Source organism: Homo sapiens, chromosome 3 (genome assembly GCF_000001405.40).
Source record: "Homo sapiens chromosome 3, GRCh38.p14 Primary Assembly".
Lineage (NCBI taxonomy): Eukaryota > Metazoa > Chordata > Mammalia > Primates > Hominidae > Homo > Homo sapiens.
In genome coordinates, this window is record NC_000003.12 from 172591217 (window position 1) to 172617551 (window position 26335).

General features: G+C 43.1%; 1 long non-coding RNA gene and 1 pseudogene across 1 annotated transcript in view, besides 6 other annotated features; both read right to left on the reverse strand.

Annotated features, from left to right (window-relative positions):
* Nucleotides 1-4391, reverse strand: part of LINC02068 (long intergenic non-protein coding RNA 2068) — a 34707-nt gene extending 30316 nt beyond the window's left edge. Inside the window, exons 1-2 of the long non-coding RNA NR_146714.1 lie at nt 4187-4391; nt 3245-3365 (exon numbers count right to left, since the gene is read on the reverse strand). This is a non-coding gene — a long non-coding RNA (long intergenic non-protein coding RNA 2068). The remainder of the gene's footprint in view (nt 1-3244; nt 3366-4186) is intronic.
* Nucleotides 733-1932: an enhancer, noted in NCBI's record as "CDK7 strongly-dependent group 2 enhancer chr3:172309739-172310938 (GRCh37/hg19 assembly coordinates)". NCBI's record gives its function as "activates an origin of replication core promoter dependent on BRD2, BRD4, P300/CBP, MED14 and CDK7 cofactors, with strong dependence on CDK7, by STARR-seq in HCT116 cells {active_cell/tissue: HCT116}" and the evidence as "EXISTENCE:reporter gene assay evidence [ECO:0000049][PMID:35650434]".
* Nucleotides 865-1324: an enhancer, noted in NCBI's record as "active region_20827". NCBI's record gives its function as "activates an Ori minimal core promoter by ATAC-STARR-seq in GM12878 lymphoblastoid cells {active_cell/tissue: GM12878}" and the evidence as "EXISTENCE:reporter gene assay evidence [ECO:0000049][PMID:35858748]".
* Nucleotides 1995-2134: an enhancer, noted in NCBI's record as "active region_20828". NCBI's record gives its function as "activates an Ori minimal core promoter by ATAC-STARR-seq in GM12878 lymphoblastoid cells {active_cell/tissue: GM12878}" and the evidence as "EXISTENCE:reporter gene assay evidence [ECO:0000049][PMID:35858748]".
* Nucleotides 4903-5197: a silencer, noted in NCBI's record as "tiled region #2749; HepG2 Repressive DNase matched - State 5:Enh". NCBI's record gives its function as "represses a minimal TATA promoter and a strong SV40 promoter by Sharpr-MPRA in HepG2 cells {active_cell/tissue: HepG2}" and the evidence as "EXISTENCE:reporter gene assay evidence [ECO:0000049][PMID:27701403]".
* SLC31A1P1 (solute carrier family 31 member 1 pseudogene 1) lies at nt 8170-12958 on the reverse strand (annotated as a pseudogene).
* Nucleotides 14843-15137: a silencer, noted in NCBI's record as "tiled region #14501; HepG2 Repressive non-DNase unmatched - State 23:Low, and K562 Repressive non-DNase unmatched - State 22:ReprW". NCBI's record gives its function as "represses a minimal TATA promoter and a strong SV40 promoter by Sharpr-MPRA in HepG2 and K562 cells {active_cell/tissue: HepG2 | K562}" and the evidence as "EXISTENCE:reporter gene assay evidence [ECO:0000049][PMID:27701403]".
* Nucleotides 21767-22268: an enhancer, noted in NCBI's record as "H3K4me1 hESC enhancer chr3:172330773-172331274 (GRCh37/hg19 assembly coordinates)". NCBI's record gives its function as "activates a minimal SCP1, AML or CMV promoter by ChIP-STARR-seq in naive H9 embryonic stem cells {active_cell/tissue: H9 hESC(naive)}" and the evidence as "EXISTENCE:reporter gene assay evidence [ECO:0000049][PMID:30033119]".

Sequence of the window (26335 nt, forward strand, 5' to 3'; positions counted from 1 at the left end):
TGCAGCTGACTTCTTATCTTTGGTTTTACAGGGCGGGTATGTTAGTGAGATACATCTGTTGAGATAAGCATGTGTTTTTTTGTCTTCTGCTAGCTTTGGGATTGGTTTGCTCTTGGTTCTGTAGTTCTTTTAGTTGTGATGTTAGGTTGTTAATTTGAAGTCTTTCTAACTTTTTGGTGTTGAAGCTGCGGGGTGTGATCCAGTAGGTGGTGCTTAGGCGCTTCATGGAGGCCAGTGGGTGATACAATTTGAAGACATGAGATTCAAAACTGAGAGGCTTTAGGGAGGACAGAAGGAAATGAGGGGTTTTGTGAAGTAGTGGTCAGTAGGTAGACTCTTTCCCAGTCATGTGACTCCTCTATATTTCCTCATGGTTGCAGCTGGGCTACCTCTCAATGCTCTGAAAGTGTGGACTCCTCTCCCATTTGAGTGCTGGCTACAGATTGAGACTTGGCACTCCTAGGCTGCCCACCACAGCTCTGGGGAGATCTCAGGGTTTATGTTTCCTCCCCAGCTTGGAGGCAGCAGAGAGAAGGACCTTAGCAGTGGTTGTGGCTGGGGGTCTTTTACTTGTCTCCTGGGGGCTCCACTCCACAGAGATGCAGGTCAGCAATTGCTCAGTGTGATAGGCCCAAGATGGGTGATCTGTACTGTGGGTCCAAGCTGGGGGGTTCCCTGGTGACAAGCAGCAGGGGTGGATGGGACCTGTGGGAGATGGACTGGTCTCCTCTCCTTGGGTTAACTGCAGCTTGTTGGGGGTGTGGATGAGGCACTTAGGGTCTTTGCTGTTTAATTAGTCTAAAGGTAGTAGGGGTAGTACTACTACAGAGGCAGTGGCAGAGAGGCTTTTGGTTGCCCCTGAGGGCTCCAACCCCAAGAAATGCAGAGTCACTGTTACTGGGAATGTTCAGCCAGTGAGGTGGGTGGCTGCACTGCTGGTGTGAGTTGGAGGCTCCACTTGTTGGGGAGCAGGGGTTCAAGGGCTCACTGAGAGGAGATAATGGTCTCCTCTCCATGTGGTCACTGTGGTGGAGAGACTGTCATATACCTCTGAGAGCTTTTCCCCAGGGAAACTCCAGGCCACTACCGGTGGGTTTGCTCAGCTGTGGGTGACGTGACTGTTCTGTGGTCATGAACCAGGGGCCCTGCCTGGTGAAGAGTAGCGGGTGGGGATTCCCAGGAAAGAGAAACTGAACTCCTTTCCATATGGTGGCTGCGGTGCACTAAAGATACCAGTGTAGTGACTGGGACCTTTGTTCCTTCCCCAGCCTGAGGTCTGTTAGGGCAGTACCACTGCAACTGCAGAGGCGAAGGTTTGTGGGTTCACTCTGGTATTTATTTCCTCTTCGAAGAAATGCGGGGGTGCCTCTGATTGAAGTGGTCAGGCGGAAACAGGATGGTGGTGCTGGAGTCTCAGGTCGGGCAGCCCTATGCAGTGAGGACTGGGACTTGTGGGGAACAGTCTGACCGCTTTTCTAAGGTGGGCGCTCTGTGCTGGGGGTCTGGACCAGCCCCTGGTACTCACAGAGGACTTTTCAGAGCCTGGAGACAGTAAGGGCAAGGGCTGCAAGACAGCAAACATCACACCCCCCACCCTCTCACCCCCCAACCCCCAAACACTGGGAGCGCTGTCCCAGAGAGTTATGGAGCTGCTACTGGCTCAATATCCCTGGCAGGGGGTGGGTGGAGACCCAGGCCAGGAGGACTCATCCAGTGAGGAGAAACAGGTTTGGAGACTTGTGTAAAAAAGCAGTCTGGCCACTTTTCCACAGGACAGCCATGTTGTGCTGGGGGGTCCACTCCAGTCACTGATGGATCACCTTGCACTCTCTAAAGCCTGAAGGCAACAAGGACTGAGGCTGTGAAACAGCAAAGATGGCCGCCTACCCCTTCCTCTGAGAGCTCCCTCTCAGGGATGTGTAATGCTGCTACCAGCAGCTGGCTAGAGTTCCAAGCCAGTGGGTCTTATCCTGTGACCTCTGAAGTGCTATGGAAGTGAGGCCTGCAGATCATCGCTGCTCAGCCCCCTGGATTCAGCCCCTTTCATAGGAGTAGGTATGGGGGTCTAACCTCCCACTTGGCTGGAGTAGCAGTTACTTTTGCCAGGAAGCCAGGATATCTAAGGCTCCTGGGGCTCCGTGTGTACCTGAGCGGCTGCTCTGCCAAGACTCCCCATAGCTCTGTGTATCTGACTGAAGGCCCTAGTGGAGTGGGTTCATGAGGGGATCTCCTGACCCAAGAGTAGCAACGATCCATGGGAGAAGCATTGGTCCGCAGGGTCGCTCATTCACTCACGGCTTCCCTGGATGGGGAGGTTCCCCTGGCTCCATGTTTCTCCCGTGTGGGCGGTTGTCCTGCCCTGCTTTTCTCCATTCTCCATGGGTCAGGTTGTTTTCTTGATGAATTCCAACATGTGTATCTGTATGTTTCGGTTGAAAGTGCAGTATTTACTCGCCCCATCTATTTCTCTCTGTGAGAGCAGTACACACTAGCTGCTTCTGGTTGAGCGTAAGAAAAATAAATGCCCTTTTAATGTGTTTGCTAGAAGATAGAAAACATTGCAAAGAACAGAGTAGAATTCATATTCTTAAAAACAAATATGAAAACTTATTCTACTTTCCTTCTTTACCAATGAAAATAAACATATTTATTGTCCTCAATGCACTTTTTTCTTTGAAATAATAACTCCTCAGAAAGACCGTTGCAGTTAAGAATATCAGCTGTCACACAGAGCTAAATCCTTTTAATTGTGAATTTTTTCCCCACAAAGCATGATGAACTACGTCTTGACAGGGCAGGCAAAGTATTAAAGTAAAATATTTTTCCCCACATTTTATTTTTCTTTTCTTTCTTTCTTTCCTTTTTTTTTTTTTTTTTTTTTTTGAGATGGAGTTTCACTCTTGTTGTCCAGGCTGGAGTGCAATGGCGTGATCTCAGCTCACTGCAACCTCCACCTCCTGGGTTCAAGCAATTCTCCTGCCTCAGCCTCTGGTGTAGCTGGGATTACAGGCACACGCCACCACGCCTGGCTAATTTTTGTATTTTTAGCAGAGATGGGATTTCACCACATTGGCCAAGCTGGTCTCAAACTCCTGACCTCAGTGATCCATCTGCCTCAGCCTCCCAAAGTGCTGGGATTACAGGTGTGAGCCACTGCGCCCAGCCCCCATTTTCTGAGGTGAAATGAAGGAAGAGTTAATCATTCATGCTCCTTTTCTTGGGTTCAGCTGCCATCCTTACTTACCTCTGATGGAGGACTAGGGATTTCTGGGACTTGAACTCCTGTTATAGAAGGTCAGATTAGCCTTAAGCTGAACAGCAGCAGCTACCTGGGCCTTTCTCCCCTGAATAAAAGTTCTGAAGATCTAAAATGAAAATATGAAAGGAAAGAAATTATCAAGTTCTGTCTACTAAATATCTCAGTGGATTTCCTACCTCAACTGGTAGATTTGTCTTAAGGCCTTTGTTTGGAGTGTTTTCCTACAAGTCTCAAAGTCTAACAAAAGCAGGCGTTCCCGGTCAAGCTCTGCCAAATTCACCACGTGACCTAGGACCTGAAGTGAACTTTCGTTTCTCCTGTTCTCTCTCTTTCCGACCTTCCCTCCCCGCCAAGGCAATGCAGACAGGGACTCAATATATTATTTTGAGTTCTCCATAGGAAAAGAATTATTATTAAAACAATAAGCTCTCAAGATAAATACCTTTATATAATGTATATACATTCATATATACATGAGTATATACTAGCTTTCATATCTGTATTCTTTTTTTTCTTTCTCACCCAGAACTCAAGAAGACATGCCTGTATCCCTTTTTTTTTTCTCTTTTGAGATGAAGTTTCACTCTTGTTGCCCAGGCTGGAGCGCAATGGCGCAATCTCAGCTTACTGTAACCTCCACCTCCTGCATTCAAGCAATTCTCCTGCCTCAGCCTCCTGAGTAGCTGGGATTACAGGCGCCCACCACCACGTCTGGCTAATTTGTGTATATTTAGTAGAAATGGGGTTTCACCATGTTGACCAGGCTGGTCTTGAACTTCTGACCTCAGGTGATCCACCCGCCTCGGCCTCCCAGTGTGCTGGGATTACAGGCATGAGCCACCGCACCCGGCCCAACATGTCCGTATTCTCAAAGCTATAGAGGTGTCTTTGCTATTTTGTTCTCTTAGGTAAGAACCGGGTCCTCACCTTACACTTTATTCCTCAGGTGAAGAGACTCTGTGTGTGTCCATTCAGGGAAGCATGAGAGCATTTGATTTCAGCTGAGCAGGTTTAGTCATCTAGGAGCTGCTCTCTTAAGTGTTTAACACAATCGTTAACTAACTAAAACTTGCAGGAAATTAATCTGGAATTTCCCAGTAATTACATGTTTTAGATAAGTTTTTGAATTGAGTCCAAGATGATGTGATAGTGCATGTTCATAATTAACTAAGAAACTGAGAAAAGCTTTCTTAATCTAAAAACAAAGCCAAAAATCTTTCCATGCAAGGAAAGAAAATCTTAATTGATTAACTCATTAATAGAGCAGGGAAAAGAAAACAAAAGCAAAAGCAAAAAAACTAACTTGAGATATAGCTGAACTCATAATGTGTATTTGTTTTTATTTCCAGTTGCTGCTTACCATTAGCTGTGCAAGACCAAAGGATTTTGTGCTTTCTCTTGCCTAGTAATTGTTCAGTCCAAAATTTAACCATGTTGTTTTTGTGTTATTACCAGGAGCAAGAGGACATGTGTATTGGTGAGAGAAGAGGGGTGAGGAGTCAGGGATAAGATGAATCTGATTAACTTCAGGGGTTATTAGAATAAATCTTGTAGGCTTGGAGAATCTTGTAGGCTTGGAGAATCTAGAGTTCTATGAGAAATGGTAAGCAGACTTCATAAATCCTGTCTGCGTTGCTGCTATGATCTTGGCCTTCCCCTGACATACTCCCAAGAAATAGAAACGAATAGAAATAGAAATCTAATAGAACTAGAAATAGAAATATTTCCCAAGAAATAGAAAGTAAAACTGACAAAGCCAATGCAAAGAAATCAGTTCGGAAGCTGTTAATTTTCACACGATCTGTGTTCAGTAACCGCCCTCTATCGGCTCTCCTGAATAGCACACTATATGGGACGGAGAATCTGAAAGGCCTTTTTGCTGGTTTTCTTACTAACAGAGAGTTCATAAACCAGGATCTTCTTCAGCCTCCAAGGTAAGGAAATGTGTGATCTCCAAGCTCCCTCTTGTATGTATTGTGAACGCCACTGTCAGAAGAGAAACACCAAAGTTATTCACCTGGAAATGTTGCAGTATGAAGACCATGTATTTGATGGAGAGGTTATTTAAATGGTAACTTTGTTAATGAATTTCTTTGCTAACTTTCCCTGCTTTATTTTCATGCCAAAAACCAGAGAGGTACAGAGAACAGAACTCGGCACCACAGTCTAAAAGTGTTAAGTTTCAGGCACAACACTGCTGTTTTTGAGCTGTGGGTCCTCAGACAAGCCATTTTAGCTTTCCGAGCCTCAGTTTCCCACTTGCCTGCTTCTTCACCACTTCCTGGGGTGATAAGAGAAGACCAAATGATATGTTTGTGAAGGTGCTTTGCCACTCATGTACCCTATGCAGACCCTATTATTAGTAGTACTTTATAAAAGTAAGACATCATTTTCTCATTTACAGGACTGAGGATTAGAAAGAATAATGCTGGGTTTCTGGCTGCCTCCGCTTTTGAGGGCCTAGGAGGCATTCTGACCTAAAGAGAGTAGGCAGTGGAGTCAGACATAAATGTAAACACTGTTAGTGTGACCTTTGCAGATCATCTGTCTGCCCTGTGCTTCTATTATGCTATCTATCTGCAAAGTAAAGAACTTCTTTACAAAATGCCTCATACAAGTGTGAATACAACAAACAAGCTCCATCTCTAAAGTTCTTCATAGAAAACAGAATTATAAGACGCACTCAGTATCCAAGGATAAATGATACCAGGAAAGGGCCAAAGTTAATTAATCCTCTTACAATAAAGAGCATATTTCAAGGTAAATAATAAAAATAATTATCTTAAAATTAACAAAATGTATATGGTTATTTGCAACTATGCATTAATTCTTAGCCCAAAGAATGTTGAGGAGTTGATTTGGCATGAAGAGGACACATTTTCTTGGACAAAATTATAGGATGGCACAGTGCGACTTTGTTTAGCTCATACTACCTTTCGGTAACACCATCAAAGGGGATCTTTTTTACCAAAAACATTTTTTAAATCAAGGGTTTTCATCAATTTTCCAAAGGGATTAAAAAAATTCCCTGACATTTAAGCTGGTACATTTTGGAAGCATTTCTTGTATCATCATCCTTACCCATTACTCTTCTTTAGTGTTAATTTATATGATTCCTTGTCCGTTTTTTTTCTTCAGTTTTTACCTAGTCTGTTGACACGTGACTATACTTGATGTTGGAGCAGTTCTCCAACATTATTTTCATCAATTTCATGAAATTCTGCATCTTTTGCAAGAATCACAACTCCACTTTGCCATCTATTTGACTTGTGTTGTCAGATGTTTACAGTATTCTACAAGCAATAAGAGTTAGGCTGAAAAAGTTTTGACTTGTGATCAGGGATAGTCATTCAAGCTAAGCAGAGAAGATTGTTTGAAAGGGGAACAATTTTATGGGTGTTCGGTTCATGAGTGAATACTTTCATGTAATGGCAAATATTCCTATATAATCATGTTCTAGAGGAATTTAAGTAATGAAAACTCAGATAAGAAGGAGTCTCTGGGCCAGGTGCGGTGGCTCATGCCTGTAATTCTAGCACTTTGGAAGGCTGAGGCAGGCGGATCATGAGGTCAGGAGATCGAGACCATTCTGGCTAACACGGTGAAACCCCGTCTCTACTAAAAATACAAAAAATTAGCTGGGCGTAGTGGTGGGCACCTGTAGTCCCAGCTACTTGGGAGGCTGAGGCAGGAGAATGGCGTGAACCCGGGAGGCAGAGCTCGCAGTGAGCGGAGGTTGTGCCACTGCACTCCAGCCTGGGCAACAGAGCGAGACTCCATCTCAAAAAAAAAAAAAAAAAGGAGTCTCTGATAATGCTTTTTTTTCTATCCAAGAATTCCTTTTTGCATTTTTGGTTCAGTTGTGGTGGATTTAGGCTGAACCACATTCACTCTCATATAAAGGACCTGCATTTGCTTGTCAGTTCCCAGCCTGGGTTAAGGGGTGCTAACTTTGCCCGATAAGATCAATTCATTTCCATGGTGTTCTAAATCAATGTCTCTTAAACTCCATTCTGTGCTATTCTCTTTATTAATATTCTGCAAACATATGTAAAATAATGTTATATTTTAGTAGTTTGATGTCAAACAAAATTAAAAGTGATGATTCATTGAATTCATTATTTCTACCAGTAAAGAGAACAGTTAATTTTTTGTTATGTAAAAAGCCAGTAGTTTAATTAAAACACACCACTAAGAGTGAAAGACTGGGAAGAGATATGATTTGTATTATATATTTGTATATTATATAAACTTATATAGTCAGATACCATCTAACACTAGTCAGAATGGCTATTACTAAAACGTCAAAAGACAGCAGATGCTGACAAGGTTGTGGAGAAAAAGAAATGCTTGTACACTGTTGGTGGGAGTGTGAATTAGTTCAGCCATTATGGAAGACAGTGTGGCAATTCTTCAAAGACCTAAAAACAGAAATACCATTCAACTCAGCAACCCCATTACTGGGTAATATACCCAAAGAAATAGAAATCATTCTATTACAAAAACACATGCACATGTATGTTCATTGCAGCACTATTCACAATACCAAAGAGATAGAATCAACCCAAATGCCCATCAGTGATAGACTGGATAAAGAAAAAGTAGTACATGTATACCATGGAATACTATGCACCCATAAAAAAGAAAAAGATCGGCCGGGTGTGGTGGCTCACGCCTGAGGAAATGGATGGAGCTGGAGGCCATTATCTTTGACAAACTAACACAGGAACAGAAAACCAAATATTACATGTTCTCACTCATAAGTGGGCATTGAACAATGAGAACACATGTTCTCCCCACAAATCATATCTTCTTATATATAGTAAAGTGGCAAAAAATAGCAATGAGTGAAAATTCTGTTGCTGAGAAACTTATAACTTCAAATGTAAACATTTTTAATTCTTTTTTTAAATCACAAAATCAGAATATTTATTTTGTTCTTTTTCATATGACAGTGTTAAAACATTCCTACTACAGCAATATTGCTCTCCAGGAGCTTACAATCTAAAACAGTCAACGTTATTTGTAGACCCCAGTAAGTAAGGCATTATATCAAATGCAGACTTTTTTTTTTTTTTTTGAAACGGAGTTTTGCTCTTGTCGCCCAGAGTGGAGTGCAATGGCACCATCTTGGCTCACTGCAACCTCCACCTCCCAGGTTCAAGCGATTCTCCTGCCTCAGCCTCCAGAGTAGCTGGGATTATAGGCATGCGCCACCACACCCAACTAGTTTCTGTATTTTTAGTAGAGATGGGGTTTCACCATGTTGGCCAGGCTGGTCTCAAACTCCCGACCTCAGGTGACCCACCCCCACTTGGCCTCTCAAAGTGTGTGAGCCACTGTGCCTGGCCCAGACTTTGTATCTTTTGACGAAGTAGCTGGAGAGGGCAGGATCAAAATTAAATGACATGAAAATGTATTCCCCTCCACCTGCTCCTTATAAGGAACCCCTTATGACTAGAACCCAAGACCAGTACCCACAGCCTGAAAGGGAATTTCAGACAACCCTACCATAGAAGTAGTAAAGAAACCTTAATCTCTAATCTCCTAGTGGATACAGTGAGGATTCCATTTGTGGAAAATGGGGATGCTGGGAGTTCCTCCATCACAGACTAGAGATAGCACCCAAGATTCTGTAACTCTGGGAAGGGTACCAGCCTTATAGAAATTCCAGTGGGGCAACTGCCTCTTGAAGCATGCTTAAAGTCTCTAACAGGTTTATAAATGCCAATTTCTGATTGGTATTTATATCCACAGCATACCACTGTCTACTGCATCAGGAGGGCTATGGAGATTTAATACAGTAGACATGAGATTTAAAAAACTGAAAGAAAAGGGAAAGGACAGCAGAGTAAGGGGGCCAAAGAAATGGTGATGCAGTCTTCTAACAGATGTGAACAGGGAAGGAGGAAAAGAGAAGTTTAGATCCAAAACGAACAAAGAAGTCAAGCATTACATTCCAAATGAACAGGTATACAGAAATGAAAAGTTAATGAAATCATTGTATTATCACAATCCAAGAGCTCAAGATGGAATTTAAGCTTTTTCTCCTTCACTGGCTTCATCCTTTGGCAGCCAGTCTAAGAATCTCTGAAATTCATATTTTTCAGGAGATTATCTCTATCCTGAATACCTGTATCTCTATCCTGGATACCTGAAGACCTAATCTAAACTGCTATTTATTTATTTCTGTGAATTTCAAAGTCATAACATTTTGTCTTAACTGGCCTTGAATTTTCTTTTTTTTCTTTCTTTTTTTTTTTTCTGACACAGGGTCTTGCTCTGTTACCCGGGCTGAGTGCAGTGGCACAATCATGACTCACTGCAGCCTCGACCTCCTGGGCTAAAGCAATCCTCCTGCCCCAGCCTCCCAAGTAGCCAGGACCACAGGTGTGCACAACCATGCCCAGCTAATTTTTGATTTTTTGTAGAGATGGGATCTCGGGATCTCACTATGTTGCCCAAGCTGGTCTCAAACTTCTGGACACCAGCCATCCTCCCACCTTGGCCTCCCAAAGTGTTGGAATTACAGGCATGAGCCATTGTGTCTAGCTGGCCTTACTGATAAGGTTCTGTTGTTGGGAGGGTATTCTATGGCATTTCATGCTGAGATTTGTAGAGAGCACCAGTGTCACTATTAAATATTGATTTCTATTGATTTCTCATGGTTTTATGATTCCTTGGCTTGGGACAACAGGCTGTATTACACCTTTGTGTTGGACTTTGTCAGTACCTGTCATTCACCCTGCTCATGTTAAGTATCATCATTGCAAGGTGATGGAATGAGAGAAAAGCACAAATCTCTAAATGTTGGTTCTTGGATTTTAACCTCAATCCAGTAGGCTCATAACCCTCTCTTGGTTCAAAGCCATACAAGTATACATTCCTTGCTCTCCAATATTTAACTAGCACCCACAGAGAAAGTACAAAGGCCAACAGGATAGCTGTGTTTTGTTTCCTCTGCCCTGAGACACAACTAGATCTAGCACCAAGGAGGGCAGGATTTAACAGATCAGCACACAACGAATCAATTTAAAGAGGTAGTTTGAACCGGGAATAAGACTGCAGTGTAGACTACGACTGAACAGAATAAAAATCCTATGTGGTTCTTCATTGAGAACAGGGGTTTTGGCCACTTGTAATGTAATTAAACCCCCACTAATAACAAAGATGCTTATATAGAGGATGAGGATCTGCTTGGTGTGAGCACAGTTGTTGGAGCCTGAGGAAAATCTGGCCATCAGCAAACCACACCCTGAGTCTTTCCAAAGAGAAAGCTCTGCTTTTGCCCTTCTGGCTCATGACTGGTAGATTTACAGTGCAGATCAAAGGTCTCTCTCAACAATCAAACTACTTCCAAGAAACCATAGACCTTTAAAAATAAAGGCCAGTGATTTCATACAGGCTAGTAAAAATACTTTGGCTATAGCCTTTCACGGATGTGTGCTTGGGCACACATACACACAGGTGGAGCTCAATAAATGTGGAATGATTAGGTATTGATCAGCAGTATTTATGTGTGAGTTAAGTCCAGACACACCATCTACCAATCAGCAATTCAAATTTCCATGCCCAATACCAGACAGCCAACCTACCAGGTAATATTTCCTTAGCTTAAAGCAGAGATTCTCAAAGTGTGGTCCCTTGTAACATCAGCAGGAACTCAGAAGTGCCACTTTGGGGGCTTTTGATTAAGGCCCAGCAATTAGTGTTTTAACAAGCCTGTGATTCTGATGCACACTAAAGCTTGAAAATTACTGTTTTAGAGGCAGACATGTGAAAACAATAATGGGAAAAATAATTCAAACTCTTTTGCTTCACTTCAGCTGGAACAAAAAGTAAACTGAGAATGGTTTTACTTAAAAATATCTATTTCTATTTTCTCAAATTGATTGTCATTTTTTGATTGGCAAGTTCATGCTAATCAAAGTGTTAAGTGGGAATGCAAGTCAATGAGTCAGCCATCCAAGAATACACACTCTGCAAGCTGTAAGTCTGTATTTAGTTTCAAACCGCCCCTCTGCACACTACAAAGATTTTGGTATAACGCATTGCATCTAGAGAAAGGCACAATGTATTTCCCACTCATTGAATCCAAAAGCTGGACCTTCTTTTCTTTTTTTTTTTTTTTTTGAGATGGAGCTTCACTCTTGTCGCCCAGGCTGGAGCGCAATGGTGCCATCTTGGCTCACTGCAACGTCCGCCTCCTAGGTTCAAGTGATTCTCCTGCCTCAGCCTTCTAAGTAGCTGGGATTACAGACACCCACCACCACACCCAACTAATTTTTGTATTTTTAGTAGAGACGGGGTTTCACCATGTTGGCCAGGCTGGTCTCGAACTCCTGCCCTCAGGTGATCCAGCCTGCCTTGGCCCCCCAGAGTGCTGGGATTACAGCTGTGGGCCACTGCGCCCGGCCTTGGACCTTGTTTTCTAATGTTCTAATGTTAATGTTCTAATGTTCTAATGGTTCTAATGTTAAGTTTGAGTTCTGGGTTTAGTTGGGCGAGAATTTCCCTCAGCTGCCATCAATCCTGGCTGAAGTTAACCCCTTTCCATCACTGACCCAGGGCAAAAAAAATGTACTTACTATTTGTTAAACATCCAGAAAGGAAGCAGATGATAAAGTCAATGAACAAAAAGCTACATGGATTAGATAAGAACATATAACTTGGCTCTAAGATGATGGAGAAGGAAAAGACATCTCATGGGTGGCTTCTCCTTAAGAGAAATGGGAATCTCAGCTTATTAGAAAAAACAATTTGGGAGTTTACTGCTTTAGCTCAGAGACTGTAAACTAAACCTCTGTTGAGCAGGTGTGTGTGTGTGTGTGTGTGTGTGTGTGTGTGTACGTGCACAAAGAGGAGCAAGAAGGGATGATTGGAGCAGGAATCACGTCTTCAAGTCTTGAACAGCTTCCCACTGCAATCGATAAGGCCATGCCATAGAGTTTGACGTCAATGGCAATACTCTGTGATGTCCACTACCACTGCCTTCTTCCAGCTGAAGAGGAAGTATCTTGTACCGGCCCCTGCTGTTACTGCAATGCAGAGGTACCCATTGTAGGTCATGAAGATGAGCATGAGGAGGTAGCTTATGACCACCTGGATGATGTGCAGCACTGTTTGCAGGAGGTGAGGAAAGCTCAGCATCTGCTGCCCAACAGTTTTGTGTGTCTACATAAGGATGGTTCCATTTGGTCCTGGGACAGGCATGGAATTGTAGCAAAAGCTGACTTGTGACTTACACAGCAGGCTCTCTTGGGCTATCGAGTCCTTCATAGAACACTGCTAGTATAATCACTGCCACAAAAGCTCCAGCCATTTCTCCAGCTGTATTGATCACCAAACTGGAAAACAGTAGTTCCACATTCTTAAAGCCAAAGTAGAAGGTCATAGGCATCATCATCATCATGTTGCTGTCTCCTCCACCACGGGAGTGTGAGGCTGAAGTGGTTGGGTGATGGTGAGGACGTTGCATGGTACTGTTGGAGTCCATACAGCTCATCCCCGTATGATGGGAATGATCCATTTTTTCCAAGAAAAGTTGAGAGTCAGCAGAAGATTCTTCCCAGGTCAAGTCCAGCCACTAGAGCCTCTCTCTCCAAATCTTAGCCTGTCACCCCCTCACGACTCCTCGAATGGCCCCTCCACTTCTACCCGGCTCGACATGTCCACGACCACCACCGAAGCCGAGGATTTCCCGCCCCCAATATTTGTAATTCTTAACAGTGTAGCATATTTACAAAGATTGGAAAGACATTTAATAAAATGTTAATGATAAGACTGTGGGTTGTTTTATTGCCTTTATGCTGTTCAATATTTTTTCAGTTTTCTATGATGAACCTGTCTTAATTTATAAACTGAAAAAAAATACGTGAACGGTGTTTTAAGGCATCTGCTAAAATGTCAACTAAAAATAGTATCCCATTTTAATTTCAATTCACCGATTCATAATGTTAGTATTAAATATTTTTCTTTGGTGTACTTTTTTAAATAAAAGAGAATAAAAATTATCTGTTTGGATTAATAATCTTGGATAATAGTCACCGAAAGTATGTATTTTTTCTTTTATTTAAACCATATGCAAGATTGTAGCATTCTTGCTTTATTTTAGAGCAGTTTAGCCTGTGTTAAGCATTTCAACTTGTCTGGCTGCTTGAGTTTATAGACTTAGCTCTGCTACTTTCCAGCCCATAACTGTAGAAAACTACTTCCCCTCTCTAATTTTTAGTTTCCTTTCAATTGGAATCTTAATAGCGTCCATATTATAAAGGTCATAAAAAAGCAATTTATCATCATTGCCATGATATATGATTAACTTGTTTTTGATTTATGTTTCTGTGGGTCTAGCAATATTATTTAAAGAGAATTTTGAAGGCTGTTTTACGTTAAAAATTATTTATGTTCTGAGGTCTGAAAAGTTAAATAGCATAGCTCTAACCAACTCCTCTACCACCCAACATTGAAAATCAGTAATAATCTACATTATCTAATCATTATAACAAATTCGTGAAGTCGGCAGAGTGGTATTTTCATTTTACATGTATGGACACTGAGGCCCAGAGAGGTGAAAGAAGCCCCAGAAGACACAGAGGAGGCCAGAGTAGAGCAGAGGGCTTCCGACTTGCAGACCACACTGACCACAGTGTGCACAAGCAATTGCTTTCCAGTTGAGTTTAACTTTTAATTCCAATATGGCCTCTCTGGTTTCTCCTCTGATCTGTGCTGGGTCCATCATTCCATCCCAATCTCCCACACTCTTCCCATCAACCAAGCTGTGCTGTACAGTGAACTTTCCCACCAACAGACTTATGCTTATATTGGTGCTTTGCCAGAAGTGCCTACCATCCTTCAAGGCTAAAATCACCTTCTTCTTCCTTCATAAAATATTTCCTAATTTACTTCATTTGGGGCTCTGTTTAATTTTACCCTGTTTTAAATCCTGATAACTCTTTGTTTTTCCTCTTACTCAGCACTTATAATGCTCTGTTTTGCATTTCAGTTATTTGGGTGTTTGTCTTCTCTCAACACTTCTACTATTTATCTTAAAACCCCTGAAACTACCCAGCATAAAAATGACTTAAAATGAGAGATGCCTAATGGACATGTATTGAATGAATGAATGAGTTAATGATGTAGCAGGCAAATAAGTACCTATTTTAAAATATTTATTTCTGAAACAAGCTTGGAGGCACACATCATAATGTATAGAAATACCTCCCTTTGCCTGAGTATTTTAATGTAGCAAGTGACTTACAGATTCTATCTGCATTTCATTCATGAAAATTTTTTCAGGTTTTAAAAATAGGAGTCTTGGGCTGGGCGCAGTGGCTCATGCCTGTAATCCCAGCACTTTGGGAGGACAAGGCAGGCGGATCACGAGGTCAGGAGTTTGAGACCAGCCTGGTCAATATGATAAAACCCCATCTCTACTAAAAATACAAAAACTAGCTGGGCGTAGTGGGGCACGGGCCTGTAGTCCCAGCTGCTCAGGAGGCTGAGGCAGAAGAATTGCTTGAACCTGGAAGGCAGAGGTTGCAGTGAGCCGAGATCTCGCCACTTCACTCCAGCCTGGGTGACAGAGCAAGACTCCGTCTCAAAAAAAAGGGGGAGTCTTGTTCAATTGTCCTTGGGTCTGATCTCATTAATATACTGAAAAGGAATTTTCTTTCCTTTTCTGGCACATTAACTCCTACAGACCACAGAGATGAGGCACTCAGAGAGAATTTCCTGAATACCAAACAGATCAGAGAGTGAGGGCTGGAGCCCATCGTTGACAGGTACGCAGCCAATCTTTTCCTGGTGGGTCAGGGTATTCCTGCCCAGGGCAACATCATATTCAGCTGATTTGTTTCACAGACTGCTCAGTATGGTTAGACAGACTGGTTGAGAATGTTGTCTTACATATGACATAGTGGATGATATAATAGTATCTAATGCAAAATGTGATTCTAGAAATTGGGAGAAATATGCATTTCAAGTTTTAATGCTCGTCATCATTTCTTAAGACATGAGTTTTATGTGGTTTTAGATAGCTCTAAGTGGTTTATGCAGTGTATCTTATCTATTAAGAAGTCTTGAACTTCTTGAATATGCAAACTAAAGGTATAAAAATCAATTTGGATTTTCGAACCAAAGAACCTGTGTTTTTGAAAAATAATTTGGGAAGGGGAGAAAATGGTGAGATGTAGGTCAAAAGATACAAACTTATGTAACATTAATAAGTCTAGAGATCTAGTATATAGTAGAAGGATTATAGCTGATAGTATCGTATTATTAACTATATTGTATATTGAAAATTTGCTGAGAGAGTTGATATCAGATGCTCCTATGACAAAAAAGTAACTATGAAAAGTGAAGGATATGTTAATTTGCTTACTTACAGCAATTATTTCACTATGTACACGTGTAACAAAGCATTATGTTGTATACACTATATACAATACAAATAAATAAATAAATAATTTGAAAAATAAATTTTATGTTTACAATATTTTAATTTAAAAAATTAGAAGGCCTGGCTGGGCGTGGTGGCTCACATCTGTAATCCCAGCACTTTGGGAGGCCAAGGTGGGTGGATCACCTGAGGTTGGGAGTTCAAGACCAGCCTGGCCAACATGGTGAAACCCCATCTCTACTAAAAATACAAAATTAGCCGAGTGTGGTGGCACATGCCTGTAATCCCAGCAACTCGGGAGGCTGAGGCAGAGAATCGTTTGAACCCAGGAGGCGGAGGTTGCAGTGAGCCAAGATCACGCTACTGCACTCCAGCCTGGGCAACAAGAGTGAAACTCCATCTCAAAAAAAAGAAAAAAAAAACTCCATCACAAAAAAAAAGAAAAAAAAATTAGAAGGCCTTAGCTTTTTTGGATGATAAGCTACTTTTTATTGTCTGAAATTCTTAGTAACCCCAATGTAAATGAAAGTCAACTTTGCCAAAAAGGAAGTGCAATGGGAATTTCCAGAACATTACCAGCAATGAATGTGTCAGAGGCTTGGAGGTGAGCCAGATGAAACTAAATTAACAGATGGGTGATCTCAGAATATTTGATGAAAAGAGTTTTTAACAGGATCTCCCCCACATCCCAAAACAATCAATGTAGCTCTTAAAGTTGGAGCTTGGGATCAGAAAACTCACCTCCTTTGGGGTAGAGTGATGTGATGAAAAACTATAGACCTTACAGTTAAATTGATCTGTATTTAAATCCCCCATCTCAGCTGCTTTCCAGCTATGCTGTGGTGGTAAATTTTATGTGTCAACCTGATGGAGCCATGGGGTGCCCAGACATTTGTTTAGGCATTATTCTGTGTATGTCTGTGAGGATGTTTTTAGATGAGATTAACATTTGAATCCGTAGACTAAGTAAGGCAGATTGCCCTCCCAGTGTAAGTGGGCCCCATCCAATCTGTTGAAGTCCTGGAGAGAACAAAAGACTGAGTAAGAGAGAATTCACACTCCCTGCTTGACTGCTGGGACATCAGTATTCTTCTGCCTTCAGACTCAGAGTAAACCTTACACCATCAGCTCTTCTGACTCTCAGGCCTTCAGACTCAGACTAGAACTGTTACCATTGGCTCTCCTGGGCCTCCAGCTTGCCAAATGCAGATCTTGGGACTTCTCAGTCTCCATAATTATATGAGCGAATTCCTCAAAATAAATATTTTTATTATACTAAGATAAATATCACATACACACACACACACACCCCTATTGGATCTGTTTTCTCTGAAGAACTGAGACTAAAACATATGTGATCTTGGATAAGCTGATTAACCTTTCAATTTCTGGATTCAAAAAGCACAAAATATTGCCGATCATTAGAGAAAATATTTGTGATGTATTTTATAAGTATCTATAAGCATCCAATATTTTAAATCTGTTATTGTTACTGTTTCCCTCAGGATTTAGATAGCATTGTTCCAAAAAATAATTATCTTGCTGTTTGTATTTTAGGTAACATATAAAATAGTTTGTAAATGGAAGGTGAGTCAAAGTAGCTTAAATGAAATATTTTTACAGTATGTTTAGTGTTCTTTCAAAAGCCCCGAAGTGTATCTATAACTTTAAATAATAAAGTCTTGAAAATTAAACCAAACTTTGACATTAGTACTTTATATGCACCATGTTCCTTTATTATGTGCTTTGATTTTGAGACATCCTGAATCTTCACTGGGTTTCTGTTGTACCAAACTTGGCAAGCTAAGCCAAGGAGGAAATAGGACATGTCTCTCTCTTGATGGACAATAAAGTGTTCCCTCTTGTTTACAGCACTCTTTCCCTATTAGGTCATGCCAATTTGGAGACTGACAAAAACATGGCATTGAGACTACTTAGAGGGCATTTTAATCTGGCTACATAGAACTTCATGTGCTATTTGGGGCACACATTTATTATGGCCCCAGTGAATAGAACAAATCCTGACCACGAGGACCAATAAAACATCGTTTATCACATTACACTGGTATCCAACTCCCACTCAGCAAAGCTGGAACAAATAATCCAAGCTTGATTATAATTGACCAGGCTATGGACTCAACCCTAGAAATGAATCTTGGGGGTAGCTGTCACTGAGCCCATGTAGGCAACAGGGCCAGACCCAAGTGAAGTTGTGAAGCTGTGAATATTGCTTGTTGGTGACCTTCATCTCCTATTTGTATCCTATTTTCCTCCTTTCCAGGCCAACTTTTATTATGTTCCTCGTTTCTTTTTTGTGGTCTCTCTAAATGCTTTATTCCTGTTGCAGTTAAAGCTGATTTATACTTTGGAATCAGTGGCTTACTATTTTACCCTTTCAGTTGTATTTGTCTTTTAAACAAAGATGGCAGCTATAGAGCAATGCCTAGCATAAAGATGCCAATTAGGAGACTTTTAGTTCCATCTCTACCAATTAGTTGGTACGTAGCCTTTCTGGGTCTAAGTTACTTCTCTGTAAAGTCAGGTCAATAAAAATTACCTCCCAAGTTACAGTGAAAATTAAATAATAACAACTGTAAAAAGTGTTTGGTAGGATTTCTAGTTTCTGGCCCAGCATGTAAGGAGGTTGGAAGACACCACTCTATCCTAACAACAAGTAAAAAGCTAAACTTAAAAATCAACAGCTCCTCCTAGATCCACAAGATAAGTGAAGTCACAGGGAAAATCACTGCCCCCAAAATTTGAGTGACCAAGAGGTGAATACAGAGAATCACAACGCGGCAAACAGAAGCTCGCAAGTAGCCACCTCCGCCAGAACCAAAGCCAGAGTAGGAAAAATCTGAACTGTAATTGACGAATTGCTGAAAGTTCAATGTAAAGAACTGATATGGTTCAGCTGTGTCCCCATCCAATCTCATCTTGAATTGTAGCTCCCATAAGCCCTACATATCATGGGAGGGACCCAGTGGGAGACGATTGAATCATGGGGGACGGTTTTTTCTGTGCCGTTCTCATGATAGTGAATAAGTCTCACAAGATCTGATGGTTTTATAAAGGGCATTTCCCCCGCACACACTCTCTTGCCTGCCGCCATGTAAGACGTGCCTTTGCTCCTCCTTCACCTTCTGCTGTGATTCTGAGGCCTCCCCAACCATGTGAAACTGTGTCAATTAAACTTATTTTTCTTTATAAATTACCCAGTCTTGGGTATGTGTTTATTAGCAGCATGAGAACACACTAATACAACAACTTTGAGAATTAAAAATTCCAGGGGGGCCCAGCTGGGGGAAGGGGGCCTACACTTTTGTTTGTCTTACCTGCAAGAGATCTATCAGGTCAGCAGAGTGAATATTAGAGAAAAATACCCCTGTGCTTCTGGCAGGAAGAGGGGAGGTAAAGGAACCATTTTGAAATACACTAGAGCATTTTGTTCTTCTTAACAAGGTCTTTCCTCCCGATAAATAATTTAACAAGAGCCAAACCTGCTGGGCTTTTATCAGAGCCTGACTGACCTGGAAGAAAGAAAATGCCCAACTCCAGCCTGCTCTGGCCACCCTGTTCCACCAAAGGTGAGGTTGGGAGGACTGAGAAGTATGCATGTAGTTCACAATCTAGAGGCATAGACTCACTAAAAGAGCCCAATCACAGGACTACAGAATGCTTCCTACCCTGCTTACACCTTACTACCATACTACTAAGGTCTTGTTTATAGCAGTTTCTTTCACCCAGTACTTAGTTTTCTAGCTATCTAGAAAAAAATACACGACATATTAAAAAGCAAAATAAAGAGTTTAAACAGGCAGAGCAAGCATCAAAACCAGAATCAGATATGGCAGGAATGTTGGAATTAACAGGGAATTTAATACAACTATGATTAATATGCTAAGAGCTCTAATAGATAAAGTACAAAGCATGCAAGAACAGATGGGCAATGCAAGCAGACAGATGGATATCCTAAGAAAGAACCAAAAAGAAATACAAGATATCAAAAACACTGTAACAGAAAATGCCTTTGATGGGCTTATTAGTAGACTGGACATAGCAGAGCAAAGAACCTCTGAGTTTGAGGATATCTCAATACAAACCTCCAAACCTGAAAAGCAAAGAGAACAAAGACTGAAAAAAAGAGAATAGAATATCCAAGAACTATGGGACAACTATAAAAGGTGTCACATATGAGTAATGAGAGTCTCGGAAGGAGAAGAAAGATCAAACTACCAAGACCCAGCTATATCTTGTCTATAAGAAACCCACTTTAAATATAAAGGTAATATAGATTACAAGTAAATGGATGCAGAAAGATATACCACACTAACAATAATCAAAGGAAAGTAGGAGTGCTATATTCATTTTAAACAGAGCAGACTTTAGAGCAAGAAAAATTATCAGCAATAACTGATAGCAAAATATTAGCAGATTGCTAAGGATTTTTGCATGTGTGTTCCTGAGAGATATTGGTCTATAGTTTTCTTTTTTTTTTTTTTTTTGAGACGGAGTCTCGCTCTGTCGCCCAGGCTGGAGTGCAGTGGCGCGATCTCGGCTCACTGCAAGCTCCGCCTCCCGGGTTCACGCCATTCTCCTGCCTCAGCCTCCCGAGTAGCTGGGACTACAGGGGCCCGCTACCACACCCGGCTAATTTTTTGTATTTTTAGTAGAGACGGGGTTTCACCATGTTAGCCAGGATGGTCTCGATCTCCTGACCTCGTGATCCGCCCGCCTCGGCCTCCCAAAGTGCTGGGATTACAGGCGTGAGCCACCGCGCCCGGCCGGTCTATAGTTTTCTTTAATGCCTTTGTCTAGTTTTGGTATTATGGTGATGGTGGCCTCATAGAATGAAAAGGAAAGGTGGAGGTTGCAGTGAGCCGAGATCACGCCATTGCACTCCAGCCTGGGCAAAAAGAGCGAAACTCCTTTTAATAAATAAATAAATAAATAAATAAATAAATAAATATTATCAGATTGAATTCAACAATGTATAAAAAGAATTATATATTACAACCAAGTGAGATTTATCCCGGGTATGAAAGGCTATTTCCACATTTAAAAATTAATTAACGGGGCCAGACGCGATGGCTCATGCCTGTAATCACAGCACTTTGGGAGGCTGAGGCAGGTGGATCACGAGGTCAGGGGTTTGAGACCAGCCAGGCCAACATGGTGAAACCTCATCTCTACTAAAAATATAAAAATACACACACACACAGACACACACACATTAGCCGGGTGTGGTGGTGCACACCTATGATCCCAGCTACTCCAGAGGCAGAAGCAGGAGAATTGCTTAAACCCAGGAGGGTTTAAGGTCATTTACTATGAAGAGACTTCAAAAAGTTCATAGAAAAATGGAACTTAAAGATAAAAACAAAAATATAAACTTTATTTCTCAATATAAGCTCCATCAAGGTCAAGACATTTTTGTAACCAATAATACCCACCATTTAGTTCATCCCTAAAGAACTGAGGGTCCTGAGAATTTAACCATGTCACTGTCACCATTTTTACATTATTAACTGAAGAAAAATGGCTGCCCTTTACAGATTTTTTTTTTTTTTTTTTTTTTTTTTTTTTTTGAGACAGAGTCTCGCTCTATCGCCCAGGCTGGAGTGCAGTGGCGCAATCTCGGCTCACTGCAAGCTCTGCCTCCTGGGTTCACACCATTCTCCTGCCTCAGCCTCCCGAGTAGCTGGGACTACAGGCACCCACCACCACGCCCAGCTAATTTTTTTGTATTTTTTTTTATTAGAGACAGGGTTTCATCGTGTTAGCCAGGATGGTCTCGATCTCGTGACCTCTTGATCCTCCCACCTCAGCTTCCCAAAGTGCTGGGATTACAGGCATGAGCCACCACGCCTGGCCAGATTTTTTAAAGTTAGGAAATAAAAGAAGTCAGAAGGAACCAAGTCAGAACTCTAAGGTGGATACCTAATTATTTCCCATTTAAAATCTCACAAAATTGCCCTTATTTAGTGAGGGTTATTCCTCTGAATAAGCAGCAGTATTGTTGTGGTGGAGAGGGACTTTCTGTTGAAACTTGCCTGGATATTTTTCTACTAAAGCTTTAGCTAACTTTCTGAAAACATTTTCATATGTTATCATTTTTTTGCCCTCCAGAAAGTCAACAAGCAGAATGCCTAGCACATCCCAAAGACTATTGCCATGACCTTGGCCCTTGACCAGGCTGCTTGTGCTTTGACTGCACCACTTTCACCTCTTGGTAGCCACTGCTGTGATTGTGCTTTGTCCTCAGGATCACACTGGTAAAGCCACAGTTCTTCTCCTGTTACAATGCTTTGAAGAAATACTTGAGAATCTCAATCTCACTTTTAAAAAATTTCCATTGAAAGCTCTGCTCTGGTTTGCAGCTATGCGCATGTTGCTTTTCTGGCCAGAAACATCTGTGGCTGGTGGCGCCTTTGCCTAGGTTTTGCTCAGGACTGCTGGGCTCATTCCACCCACTTGGCCTGGCAGGCTGCATTCAGCTCACGCTACCAGCCTGGACCTCACCCCTCCAAGGAGACTGCAAGTCAGGTGTGGAATGGTGAGGGGTGTGTGAGTGAGCATGGGGTCTGGCCACTGCACAGTCAGACACGCTGTTGCTACCATGGGGCAGGCAGCTCCAGGTGCCAGCATGGGTGCCAGCTCTCTGCGAGCCTGCAGCTGTACCAGGCGCACCACAAGTAGCTTCCCCAGCTGGCACTGGGGAATGAGTGGTGCCCAGTAGCTTGGAGATGCCAGGAACTGCAGGGCCCCAAAGAGGGAGTCATAGTCCTGGCTCAGGATGCTCCCAGGTCTGGGGTCCCTGAAGGGCCGCAGCTTTTCTCTCCTTCTCTTTGCCCATAACATGGCGAGCCAGGGTCTTGTCTCAGCCCTGTTTGTGGGGCATGTTTCAGCCCTGCTTGTGTTACAGCTCTTTTAGCCTCGCCATTTGGTGGGGCCCAAGTTCTTGTCCTGCAACCAGGAAGAATGAGGTATGCAGACAAGTGGAGGGTGAGCAAGACAAAGAGGAGCTTTATTGAGGATAGAACAGCCCAGAGGAAACCCACATGGGGTATCTCGTTTCCTCAGCCAGGGTGTCCTGATGAGTGTTCAGCTCCTAGCAGAGAGGAGACCCTAGAGTAGGGAGCTCCTCTTTGCAGGCAGGTCATCCCGTTGAGTGTTCAGCTTACAGCAGAGAGGAGGCCCTAGAGTGAATAGCTCCTCTCTGCAGACAGGCAGGCCCATCATCTCTGCAGCTGTCAGCAGGGAGAAGGTCCTAGAGTGGGTGGCTTCTCTCTGCAGGCAGGTCCCCTCATCTTCTATGATCTTCCTGTTCTCTCCCCAAGTCTGGCTGAGTCTGGGCTTTTTATGGGCCTCAGAGGGAAGGAAGTACTTGCTGATTTGTCCATGGGTGGCCATGGGCAGGCCCAAGGAAAAGCACCACAAGTTCCTCCTCTGGCCCGAGGGACTGGCGATGGTGGCCCCAGCCTTCCAGCCCTCCCCGGCTTAAAGGTGGGGCTTCACTGGGGACCAGCCCTCTTCTGCCCTGGAGCCTGCTTCCTGCCACTATTCATGGTGCCCAGGCTGTTCATGCCAAAGAGTATCTGCAGGCCAGTGCCAGGCTGTCCTCAGCACTACCTTGGCCTCCCTCCCATGCTTGTCAGTGCACAACATCAGGAGGGGGCTGAGACAGCAGGAAGCTGGCATGTAAGTGCTGCCCCAAGCATGTGCACACCCAGCCAGGCTGTGAAAGCACCCAGTCTTGGTGTCATCCTTGCTCTGAGATCAGATCAGGTGATGACAGTGGGGAGAAATCAGGCAGTGGGAGCAGTCACTTCTGAACCTCAAGGGGTGGAGCAGGGAGGGATAAGGGGAAATTTCCTGGGCCCCCAAGAGCACAGAGATGCCCAGGTCCAGAGTGGCAGCAGGGCGGCTGCAGCTGTACCCAGAGAGCTTCCACCCCACCAATTCCAAAGGGGCGGGCTCCCACTTGTCCCTGGCTACCACCAGCTCCATGGAGTGTGCAGCCCTGGCCACACTTCCTTACAGTCTGGGGCAAGGGCTCCAGGTCCTCACTGGGTCCCTCTCTGGCCACTCGCTCTGGCCTCTTGCTGCACTTATATACTTGGCAGCTGCAGGGCACTGTGGTCCCTGGCAGTCCTGCCTGAGGGGCAGGTTGTGATGCAGGCACTGACTCTGGCTTGAGGTGGGGTGGGGGTGTGGCCAAACTGCTGTGGCTGTGCCCTGGCTCCAGGAAGGACTACATAGCTCATGGGAGGACCAGGGCATCCCTGGCCCTGGCAGCAGCAGCAGGCCTCAATGTGAGCAGCATGGGTGAGGGGCAGCGGTGGGGGCGCCAACACCTCGGGGCTTCCTGGGAGCCACTGCCACACCCAAGCATGCTGTTCTCTCGCTGGCAGGTGGCTCAGCCAGCCCCATCATGGTGGCCCCTAGGGCAGTGGGCTCCTGGGAAACTCCCAGGGGCAGACTCCAGGGATTGTCTGCCTCCTCCCTGCACCCTCCCCATAGTGGTGGCAGGCAAGAGTGGTGATGCAGGGCCAGGGGTCCCACCACCACCACTGCTGCTCCTGTGGCCACTGCCCATGTCTCCTCACTGCAGCCTGGGCCGCTTGGGACGGCCCGCTGCTGCCAGCACAATGATTTTGGCACCCATTGAATGGAAAGTTTGCTCAACTTTAATTTTTCAATCACATTTGTGTAAACTAAACTAATCAAGATGTCTACGGTGTCAGCTATTGTTCCTGCTGTTAAAATAGTCAGTCCGCTTCCAGTGGGGCACAAACAAGACTTTTTCTTTACAAACTGATGTGGATGGTCTGCAGCAGCGGGCCTCATATTCAACATTGTCGTCTCCCTTCTTAAAATGAGTTATCCATTTGTGAACTACTAATTTCTTTGGGGCATTGTCCCCATAAACTTTCCATGAAATATCAGTGATTTCACAATTCTTCCACCCAAACATTAACATACATTTGATATTTGTTCTTGCTTCAATTTTAGCAGAATTCATGTTGTTCTGATAGGGGCTCTTTTCAAACTGATGTCTTATTCCTTCTTAGTGCCTCAAACTAGATCCTGTTTAGACACATTACAACAAGTTAGTATGAGTTAATTTTGGTGGAAAAAAATTGAAATCCATGTGTAGTTGTTTTCATAAGATGCATTTCCCATAATATTTGTAAAGTCCCTTCATATGTTTGCAAGTCTTGCATATTGTGGTGAACAGCTGCTTTCTTTTTTAGGGCATGACTCTTTTGGAGAATACATTCACTTTCATTTTCTACCTGGTGCTGCTCCTTTTGAAATTCTTTTATGATTTCATATGCACTGATATGAGCATTCCCTATTAAATTTTCCATCTTCTGTGACATGCTTCTATGTTGTTTTAGAGGCACGCAATTCATTCCACATGCACTCATATACAGACCACAAATTTGCTGTAAACATTACTGGAGATTGAACAGCAACACTATTACATAAGTGTTTTCTTAGCCTACTGTTCACAGAATTATTTGTCAACCAGTCCATAACTTTGCTGGCTCCTTCAAGCAAATGTGGCATTAATTCATTAAAAGCTACTGGAGTTTCATCAGCTGGAAGGAATGCCAATGCAGATAAACAATGTGTTTTTATTTATTTATTTATTTTTTGAGACAGAGTCTCGCTCTGTTGCCCAGGCTGGAGTGCAGTGGCACGATCTCGGCTCACTGCAAGCTACACCTCCCAGGTTCACGCCATTCTCCTGCCTCAGCCTCCCGAGTGGCTGGGACTACAGGCGCCCGCCACCATGCCCAGCTAATTTTTTGTATTTTTAGTAGAGATGGGGTTTCGTGGTGCTAGCCAGGATGGTCTCGATCTCCTGACCTTGTGATCCGCCCTCCTTGGCCTCCCAAAGTGCTGGGATTACAGGCGCACGCCATCACGCCTGGCCAATAATGTGATTTTAAACCGATGTTTTTGTCATTGCCATATCATGTGGTCAATCCACTCATCTGAATTTTCTGCCAAATGCATTGGGCTGAACAGTAAAAGCACACTTTATTGGTGACACCTTGAAATTCACTTTTAGAGGCCTTGATTGCACCTAATTTCAAATCTGTCACTATGGTTTAGGGATTCAGTTAGAAATTAAGGATTTGGGGATTTTGACATTCGGGATGGTGGCATCTGGGATTGTGTTTTTTGGGATTACAATTGGCACCATTTCATTATCTGTGCTGGTGAACCATAGGGTGCAAAGCATTAGATGTGGGGTTCAGTCTACAGGCCCTGCAGGCTGGATATCTTCTATTTGCCCTTCCAGATCCATCCCGCAGTACTCTGCCCTGCTGTGGGCCCAGAGTCTGACCGATATGGCCTGCACAAACAAGCTACCCTAGTTTCTGTTTAGAACATGGAGGCAATGGCAGAAGAATGAAGTCAGAAAGAGAATGTATTATACCATTCTTGCATTGCTATAAAGAAATACTTGAGACAGAGTAATTTATAAGAAAAGGGGTTTTATTGGCTCACAGTTCTGCAGACTGTACAGAAAGCATAGTGGCATTTGTGTCTGGGGAGGCCTCTGGAAACTTACAATCATGGCAGAAGGCCAAGGGGCAGAGAGCATGTCACATGGCTGGAGCAGGAGCAAGTTGGGGGAGGTGCTACACACTTTTTTTTTT